The 10,601-nt window shown below is 40.8% G+C and overlaps 1 pseudogene; it reads left to right on the top strand.

Moving 5' to 3' along the window:
- Nucleotides 849-5,908, top strand: NUP50P1 (nucleoporin 50 pseudogene 1; annotated as a pseudogene).

The raw sequence follows: 10,601 nt of genomic DNA, 5'->3' as shown, positions 1-10,601 counted from the left end.
CAGGCTGGAATCCAGTGGCGCGATCTCAGCTCACTGCAACCTCCACCTCCTGGGTTCAAGAGATTCTCCTGCCTCAGCCTCAGGAGTAGCTGAAATTACAGGCGCCCGCCACCATGCCTGGCTAATTATTTTGTATTTTTAGTAGAGATGGGGTTTCATCATGTTGGCCAGGCTGGTCTCGAACTCCTGGCCTCAGGTGATCCTCCCACCTCGGCCTCCCAAAGTGCTGGGATTACAAGCACGAGCCACCACACCCGGCCCATTATATGTTCTAGTTTATACTTCAGTTAGTAGCAAGAACTAACCCCTCTTCCCATTGGCCATTTGTGTTCCTCCTTTTGTGGCTGATTACCTATTCATGTCTCTTGCTCATCTGCATTGAGGTCCCTGTGTACTGCTGGGTGGGACTGGGTGCTAAATGCCACGATGCATGAAGTCCAGGACACTTTCAAAACAAATATCTACTGTTTTTTAAAAAGAAGAAAATACGGCCAGGTGCAGTGGCTCACTACTGTAATCCCAGCACTTTGGGAGGCCGAGGCAGGTGGATCACCTGAGGTCAGGAGTTCAAGACCAGCCTGGTTTGATAGTGAAACCCGGTTTCTACTAAAAATACAAAAATTAGCCAGGTACCATGGCATGTGTCTGTAGTCCCAGCTTCTCGGGCAGCTGAGACAGGAGAATGGCTTGAGCCTGGGAGGCAGAAGTTGTAGTGAGCCGGGATCATGCCATTGCACTCCAGCCTAGGCAACAGAGTGAGGCTTTGTCTCAGGAAAAAAAAAAAAAAAGAAGAAGAAGAAGAAGAAAATACATGTATGTAAAAAATGCTTAAAGAAAAATAACTTTTGTCGACTTACAAAATGGCCGCCCGGAGCGTGTTCCGCGCGGTTCCCCCCAGCGGTCTCCGGCTGAACCGGCGCTCTCGCCTCCCCGCCGAACACAGCGTGAGGAGCCCCCTGGGGACATGGTGTTTGAGTCTCTGGGCTTGCCGAGCACCAAGTCCTCTGAGGACCGCAGGGCAGCACCGGAAGCGGCCGAGCGCGCTCAGCCCGGCGACCACCAGCCGCTCCAGACCCCTGCGCCGCCTCGCGCCAGGTTTCGCCGCACCCAAGACCCAGCGAGTGCAGCGGCGGCCGCCGAGGAGGTTCGAAAACATGGCCAAAAGAAATGCCGAGAAGGAACTGACAGATAGGAATTGGGATCAAGAAGATGAAGCTGAAGAGGTGGGAACATTCTCCGTGGCCAGTGAGGAAGTCTTGAAGAATAGAGCCATAAAGAAAGCAAAGCGCAGAAATGGTGGATTCGAATCTGACAGTAGAGGAGACTTTAAAGGTTTTAAAGGTTTGGTGGTACCTTTTGGAGGAGGACGGTTTCCTGGATTTGGTAGTGGCGCTGGAGGGAAGCCTTTGGAAGGACTGTCGAATGGAAACAACATAACCAGTGCCCCTCCCTTCACCAGTGCAAAGGCAGTGGCAGAGCCCAAGGTAGCCTTTGGTTCTCTTGCTGCAAATGGCCCTACCGCCTTGGTTGATAAAAATGTTTCAAATCCCAAAACTAATGGGGACAGTCAGCAGCCCTCCTCCTCTGGCCTTGCTTCCAGTAAAGCTTGTGTCGGAAATGCCTATCACAAGCAGTTGGCCGCCTTGGACTGCTCCGTGCGGGATTGGATGGTGAAGCACGCGAATACAAACTCCCTCTGTGATCTGACACCTATCTTTAAAGACTATGAGAAATATTTAGCAAACATTGAACAGCAACAAGGGAACAATGGCAGGAATTCTGAAAGTGAATCTAACAAAGCGGCGGCTGAAACACAGTCTCCTTCCCTTTTTAGCTCAACAAAATTACAGCAAGAGTCAACGTTTTTGTTTCATGGCAGCAAAACTGAAGATACACCTGACAAGAAGGTGGAGGTGGCATCTGAAAAGAAAACGGACCCATCATCACTAGGAGCGACAAGTGCCTCATTTAATTTCGGCGAGAAAGTTGATAGCTCTGTTTTGGGCTCATTAAGCTCTGTCCCCCGACTGGATTTTCATTCTCCCCTGGAAACTCTAGTTTATTTGGCAAAGATATTATCCAGAGTAAACCAGTCTCTTCACCATTTCCCACTAAACCATTGGAGGGCCAAGCGGAAGGTGACAGTGGTGAATGCAAAGGTGGAGATTAAGAAGAGAATGATGAGCCACCCAAAGTAGTAGTTACCGAAGTAAAAGAAGATGCTTTTTACTCCAAAAAGTGTAAACTATTTTACAAGAAAGACAATGAGTTTAAAGAGAAAGGCATAGGTACTCTGCATTTAAAACCTACGGCAAATCAGAAGACATAGCTTTTGGTGCGGGCAGACACCAATTTAGGCAACATATTGCTGAATGTTCTGATTCCACCCAATATGCCATGTACGCGAACAGGGAAAAATAACGTTCTTATCGTCTGTGTTCCAAATCCACCAATCGACGAGAAGAATGCCACCATGCCAGTCACCATGTTGATTCGGGTAAAAACCAGCGAGGATGCAGACGAGTTGCACAAAATTTTACTGGAGAAAAAGGATGCCTGAACACGCGAAGTCGGCTGCGGAATTATTGCCAAGTTGCTGCTTCTTCCACCGCCCCTTAAACTTAGTCAGTTTTTCTTCTCTTCTTTGACATTCTAAGAACTTATAGATAACTTAAAACTTTTGTGAGGAAGATTAATGTGGCCAGTAAAACCTTTAAATGTGTCAAGAAACCGCACTCTCACTTCTTAAGAACTGCCTCAAGTGTAAAATACATTTGAATGCAATTTTTGGAAGATTTTTTAAATGTTCGTTTGTTTATTAAACTAACCCTAAGTGATTTCTTCAAGGACTGCAATCAGGGTATCGATTCGCTTTCCCAAAGGCTCTTCCAACCCGTGGGTTTTGGGGTCCATCGCCACCATGAAAGAGGCTTTTGAACACGTGCCCGGCTGTGTTCAGAAGGAAGCTGGCCTGTGTGCTTCTCTCCAGTGGGCTCAGCCGACGTGTGAGACTTGTGTTATCAAATGAACCAGGCTGCCACGCTGTGACAGGCGTTTGTCCTCTGCTTTATTTTTATTTTGAAGCTAAAATGTGAGTACTAAGTGTTCACCTCAGCGTTCGAATCATTGGCCTGTAACCCTGTGGGCTGCTTCACAAGAATTCAGGACCTGCATTTTCATTCTAAAAAGAAATGAACAGCTTGTGAAGGAGTTTTTTGGCTTTGTAGTTTCTATTCATGAGGTAGTGTTACTTCTTTATCCCCCTAAAGACAAAATGAAGATAAAGGGGGATTGCCAGGAATGGGTTTAAAAGCACAAATTTGGTAGCTTATCATCTACACCATGGAGAGTGAACCCTTACGAAATGACAGTCAAATGAGACCATCCTAGAAAAAGAAGATGCTCATAGGCATTTGTACCATGATCAACCCCACGCATATGAAAACTATGACCAAGTGACGTGCCTGGGAGCTTTGACACACAAGCCATGTGAATTCACTAGGAAACACGTAATAAGGTAATGGAAGAGAAAATCGTGTGTACATTTTGCCTTTAACTTTAGACAGCAGTATATTATACATTTGATATCTGAAATATCTTTACTTTTTTAAGAGTAAGATTCCATTTGTCTGTTTGGAAGGGAGCCATGGTTATGCACACGAATATCCATGTCACTTCTCCAGAGCCGTCAGGTAACTAACACGAGCATTCTTTGAAGACTCTGGGCACATGAATGAGATACAGAATTGAATGTTTAAATTTCTACTTTGATTCCTCATGAATCATTTGAGACTAGTACCAGCTGATCTTGTGTACAGGCAGGGTCAGTGCCCAAGGGCTCACGTGTGTGTGTTCTGATCTTCAGTGCGTAGCGCATTCTCATTTAGAAAAGAATAGTCAGAATAATTGTGGACTGTACAGTGGCTTTTTTAAAACTACAGTCTTTAAGTGTAAGGTTTGGAGCCAGGAGCAATTTTATGATCAAATATGATGAACTTCTAAGTACCTGAGGTGTGATTGGGCCAACGTTGTCATAAGATTCTTGCTCTACTTTCAGTGTTTTGATTCCACTGGGAGAATTTGGCCCTAGTGTGTGGCTTTGGATGAATCCGTGCAGAGAGAGGTGTGCTTGTACTGTTACAGGATGCTGTCAGACATAGCTATAGTAGGCACCTAGGGAGGAAGTGGCCATTATTTTTACACTGACTTTTTAGAATTGAGAATGCACGTGAGTTTCTGTTGCAGATGATTCATAGTAAGCAAGTGGTTGATGCTGTTAATACCGGCCCTGCCTGATTGACATTAAGTTTATTCAACTTTTAAAAAGATGAAGAACTAAGGGGAACAAATTTAAGTTTGTTGCAACTTAGCCATACATGCTTCCCTGGTGTCAGCTGCAATCAGCAGCTCACAAGCATCTTTAGGACACTTCAGTGTATATGACACAGTACTTTGTTAGCGTCTGCGTGTGTATGGAAAGTTCACAAAAAATGGCATGAAAAGATCATGATTGGGTTTTCTTTTAAACCTGCCCCTTCTGTAAAAAAATAGTTCATATATTTTTAAATTAGTGGGTATGTGTGGCTTCCTTTTTTCCTAACATTCCCAGCAAATTTTTGCTGCTAAGACTATCACTGTTAAAGTGAAAATTACAGGGAAAAATGTGATGAATATACCATAACTCAAAATGTGATATTTTCTTAAAATCACTCTTTTATGCTTTAGGAACTGGTTGGTCTCCACTTTGATTATTAGTGTAAAGTGCCTGAGTATACGTGGATTTAATTGTAAAATTTAACTCCTTGTCTTTTACTTGGGGCACGGGGGCCCCGGAGGGCTTACCTATTTTCCCCACTATGTTAACAGGTAATTCTGATTTATGCGTTATTTTAGTTTGACTTATTTTTAACAAAATATTAGAAATTATGCTTTAAAATGTTTAATGTGGACTGAAATTTTCATCTTTTGTTTGAGAATCTATGAAGTGTATCATATACGTGGCCTAAAGCAAGGTGTGTATTTTGTTATTCTGAAATTGTTTTGCATCTGGACAAATACTAAGTATCCCAGTGGCCTTTTTTTTTTAAACCTGTGTATCCATCTCATCCTTTTGCGCATTCCTAGTAAGCAAAAAAATTTGTTATGCCATATTCATTATTTGAATTACAGACTGAAAATATGGCCAGTTTTTAAAGAAGTTTAGATTATGTTTTCCATGGAAGGACAAGTCTGACTGTTCATGGGCTGATTTTCTTTAAGAGGATTATTCTATTTTACAATTTCAATTCTAGATCATTTTATATATGCTGCATGTCAAAAAAAGAAAAAAGAAAAAACTACCTTTTCTGGTGTGGAGAGGAAGAAAAACTAATATTCTACCTTCTGGTAGAGTTCAAAACAAGTTTTCACTGAGAGCCTTTTCAGTAAAAGTTAAATAAGTTTGTTTTTTGAGCATTTGTCAGTTATTCTATTTCAGAAGAGTCAAAATTCAAGCACAATACATTTTGAAGGCTTTGCAAACTCCTAAACCCCTGATGAGTCCTCTCATTCTGGAAGTGGGAATTTGAGTAGATACTGATTTGTCCCGTAGTATGGTAGATGACGGGGAGGTCTTTTCCAATCAGGCACTCAGAACACAGGCCACTCTATGTTCTCAACCAGTAACAATCATATTGAGGATGAAGGACTCTCCGTTTGATGCAGACACAATTGTAATGGAGATGTAAAACTTCTTAGCAATCAGATGGATAAATTGTTTGCTTTTTACTTTAAATAGGAAATTGTTTTCTAAAACTAAAATACTTGAATTGTCCAGACAATATAATCTCAGCTTGTATTAGTTTTTGAATGCTCCCATCGAGGAAGTGTAACAATCCATGAAATGTGAATAAATGAAAAGTAAACAAAAAAAAGAAAAATAACTTTTAATCTTACTTCTCAGAACCATTGTTAATAGTTATTTCCTTCCAGATCTTCTAAATATGTAAGTGTAGGTGTTTTTCACACATACGGGATCTTATTCTATTCAGCTTTTCTGTAACCTGTTTTCCTCATAAGAATCTTTGCAATCTCTTCAAAGAATGACAAATCAGTAAGAGAATGATAGTTTGTTAATAGAAAAATAAGCAAAGAGTATGAATAGGTGATTATTCACAAAAGGAGAGGCACAAATGGCCAATGTGAAGAGGTACTCAGCCTTACTGTTAATTGGAAATGTAAGTTAAACAAACATATGATTCCATTTTTTACTATTATAGACTTGGCAAGGATTCCAAGAAATCATAATGCCCAGAGTTTGCAAGTGGCGAGAAAGTGAGCATTCTCATACACAGATGCAGGTAATATGCTTTGGAGCTAGCATTTTGGGAGAAAATTTGACACTAGTAAGTTCTTGAGAATGAATCTGCCCTTTGATGCAGCAGTATCACTTGCAGGAGCTTATCCTAAGGAAATGACCAGTAATTTGAGCGGCAACATGTGTGTAAAAGAAAGTAGGGGATTGAAAGCCAGGTGCAGTGGTGCACACTGCAGTCCCAGCTGCTCAGGAGGCTTAGGCCAGGGCATCTCCTGAGCCCAAGAGTTCAAGTCCAGCTTGAGAAACATAGCGAGATCCAGTCTCTTTAAAAAACAAAAACAAAAAAGGTAGAGGAGTGGGCAAGTACACTGTGGCATATCAAACCATAGAACACTGTGGGGCAATTAAAATCATGTTTTAAGAGAATATTGGCTGATGTAGGAGAATGTTCATGATGTACTACCATGTGAAAGAGGGAGGTTGCCAAAAGGGTACATGGTATGACCCCATTTTGCTTGTACATATATGCACACAAATGACTGAAAATATTAACAATAAGTTTTTCTGGGTCATGAGATTATGAGTGTTTAATTTTTTCTTTGTGTTTTCTAAGGTTTTTGTGTTTTCTAAGGTTTTTTACACTGAACAAGTATCACTTGTGGGAAGTAGTGGGGAAGATGTCATTAAAAATGGTTTCCAGTAGAAGTACTGGTTGATATGGGGCAACCACAAATAGACTGAAGAATTTGATTCTAAATAGAGCCAATGTTCTGACACTGGCCAGTGGAAGTGGGAGAAGTGACATCCCCCAACCAAGGTCTTAGGCTTGGGTTACCACTATTGTACCAGGTTTCAGTGTGACCTGACCTCTCAGGGAGAGGGCCCAGGCCCTCAGTCCCAGGGCATTTTCTTTGTGTTCTGCATGAGCCTCTGGGTTAGAGGTAGGAGAGGTAAAGGAAATGAGAACAAATTATTCTGCACAAGGAGGAGGGAGACCAAGGTGCAAAGGAAGTGGTCCCAGACACCAAGCCTCTTGGCATGGCTCACCTAGACTGCCTGAGACATCACCCCACAGGGACAGCCACCAGCATGTCCCCAAACTCAGACACAGAACAACTTTATGAACCTGCTGCCAGGCACAGACTGCTCTAGAGATGAAAGCAGAGAGATCTGCAAATAAAACAAGGGGTGGGAGTCCATCCCATGGTTTTGGTTCCCTGAAACTTCTTTCTGCAATCTGAAACTTGTTCAGAGGGAGGAGAGATGAATGGTAATGGGGCCTGGAGGACTCCAATTTACTTTTCCTTCTTAATATAGTAAAATAATTACCTAAGAGATCAGAATGCTATATGTCAAGTCCTAAATAGGATGGTTTGTATCTGTGATGATATTGAAGCCCCAAACAGATGTGAAGATGGAAATGCTGACATAGTGGGGCAGGCTGAATCTCAGAAGAGGGTGATGGTTCAAGTGTGATAGGAGCCTGGAGTAGACGGCCTTAAAACAAAGAGACCTCTGCAGCCACTGGCAAAAGGTTAAGCAGTAAGACCCTATCTTTCCTATTTAAGGGAGAAGTCCTCACTACCTTCTAACCAACCCCACAGTCCAGCTCCAAAGAACATGGCCACCCGGTTTCAAACCCTGTAAGGACCTCATGAAGCATTCCCTGATCCCCACCCCAACTCTGCCTAGCCAGGCCCCACACATCTTCAAGAACCAACCTTATGCCCATCCCTCCATCCCCCCGATAGGCTCTCTCCTTTAAGCCCTAGGCATTATGTCTCTTTATTTCTGACTTTTGGCCTCTTTTTGAGTATGTATTTGTCTTATCCTCACCCTTCTGCCCAGAGAGCAACTTGAGTAAAGGACTGCACATTGTCCTCTACATCCACATAGCAGGTACTATGTAAATATTTGCTGAACATTTTTTAAAGTCAACGTTTTCTTTTAGAATAGTTTTGGATTTACAGAAAAATTGGGAAGACAGTATAGAGAGTTCCTGTATACCCCACACCCAGTTTCCCCTATTCTTAACATCTTATATGAGTACAGTACATCTGCCCAGTTAATGAACCAATATTGAACATTATTATAAACTAAAATTGGCCAGGTGTGGTGGCTCATGCCTACAATCCCAACACTTTGAGAAGCTGAGGCAGGAGGATCACTTGAGCCCAGGAGTTCGAGAACAGCCTGGGCAATATAGGGAGATCTTGTCTCTAAAAATTAAAAAAGTAATAATAATAATAAGTATTATTAACTAAAACCTATACTTTATTAGAATTTTCTTAATTTCTACCTTCCTTTTTTAGAAGCCCATCCAGGATACTGTATTACATTTAGCAATCATGTTGCAGTTTCTCAGACTTTGCTTGTTTGAGATAGAATTCACATACCATAAAATCCACCCTTTTAAAATGTACAACTCTGTGATTTTTTACTATATTCACAAAGCTGTACAACCAGTAGCATTATCTAATTCTAGGACATTTTCATCTCCCCTAAAAGTAACTCCACCTGTTAGCAGTCACTCCCCATTCCCTCCTCCCAGCAGCTTCTGGCACCACTAATAATACCTTGTCTTTATGGATTTGCCTATGCTGGACATTTCATACAATTGGAATCATACATTATGTGTCCTTTTGTGTCTGGCTTCTTTCACTTAGCATAATATTTTCAAATTTCATTCACCTTGTAGCATGAATTAGTACTTCATTCCTTTTTACGGATGCATAATGTTTCACTATATGGATAAACTGCATTTTGTTTATCCATTCATCAACTGAAGGACATTTAGGTTGCTCCATTTTGGGGCTGTAATGAATAATACTGCTATGACATTTGTGGGCAAGTTTTTGCATGAATGTAATGTTTTCATTTCTCTTGGACATACTTAAGAGTGGAATTGCTGGGTCATATGGTAACTCTGTGCTTAACTTTTGGAGGAAATGCTAGTTTTCCAAGTGGCTGCATCATTTTACATTCCCACCAGCAATGCTAGGAGGGTTCCAATTTTTCCACATCCTCACTGACACTTGCTCTTGTTGTTTTGCTTACAGCCATCCTACTAGGTGTGAAGTGGTATCTCCTTGTAGTTTTGATTTGCATTTTTTAAATGACTACTGATGTTAAGCATTTTCTCATGAGCTTATTGGTTAGCTATACAACTTCTTTGGATAAACGTCTGTTCAAATCCTTTGCCCATTTAAATATTGTGTCTTTTTAATTGTGAAATCAAAGTTCTTTTTATATTCTGAATACTAGACTCTTCACATACGTGATTTACAAATATTTTCTCTCATTTTGGGGGGTTGTGTTTGTACTTTCTTATTTTTCTTTATAATGGCTTTACTGAAATATAATCCACATGCCATGCAATTCACTCATTAAAATGTAACAATTTGGTTGTTTTTAGTATTTTCAGAGTTATACAACCATCACCATCATTTTCTTGATAATGTCCTTTGAAGCACAGAAGTTATTAATTTTGATGAGGTCCAATTTACCAATTTTTCTCTGGTTGCTTGTGCTTTTGGTGTCGTATTCAAGAAACTAGTGCCTAACCCAACAACATAAGGATTTACTCCTATTTTTTTTCTAATAGTGTTCTAGTTTTACCTCTTATATTTAGGTCTATGATCCATGTTGAGTTCAATTTTGCATATGGTGTGAGGTATGGATCCAACTTCATTCTTTTGCTTGTGAATATCTAGTTGTCTCAGAACCATTTGTTGAAAATATTATTTTCCCCATTGAATTGTCTTGGCACCCTTATCAAAAATCAATGGCCCATAATACATGCATTTATTTCTAGATTTTTGATTCTATTTCATTGATCTAAGTATTTGTTCTTACACCAGTACCACATGGTCTTGATTTCTAAAGCTTGTAGTAAGTTTGAAATCAGAAAGTGTTAGTCCTCCAACTTGGTTCTTCTTTTTCAAGATTATTTGGGCTATTCTGGATCCCTTAAAATTTTATATGAATGTTAGAATCATCTTGTCCATTTCTGCAAAAGAGTGAGCTAGGGTTTTGATAGGGATTGCACAGAATATGTAGATTAACATGGGGATTACTGCCATCATAACAATATTGTCTTCCAATCCACCGACATGTCTTCATATTTATTTAGGTTTTCTTTAATTTATTTCAGTGATCTTTTGCAGTCTTCAGTGGGGTCAATCCCCAACTGAGCCTTTAAATGACTTCACTTTAGCCCTGGTTGCCACTTTGAAGCCTTTTGAGAGACCCTGAGTGAAAGTAGTCAGCTAACTGCCACCATATTCCTGACCTACCAAAACTATGA

The sequence above is a fragment of the Homo sapiens genome, chromosome 14 (genome assembly GCF_000001405.40).
Source record: "Homo sapiens chromosome 14, GRCh38.p14 Primary Assembly".
Lineage (NCBI taxonomy): Eukaryota > Metazoa > Chordata > Mammalia > Primates > Hominidae > Homo > Homo sapiens.
The sequence above is the reverse complement of the archived record's forward strand: the minus strand, read 5'-3'. Positions and strand labels throughout refer to the sequence as shown.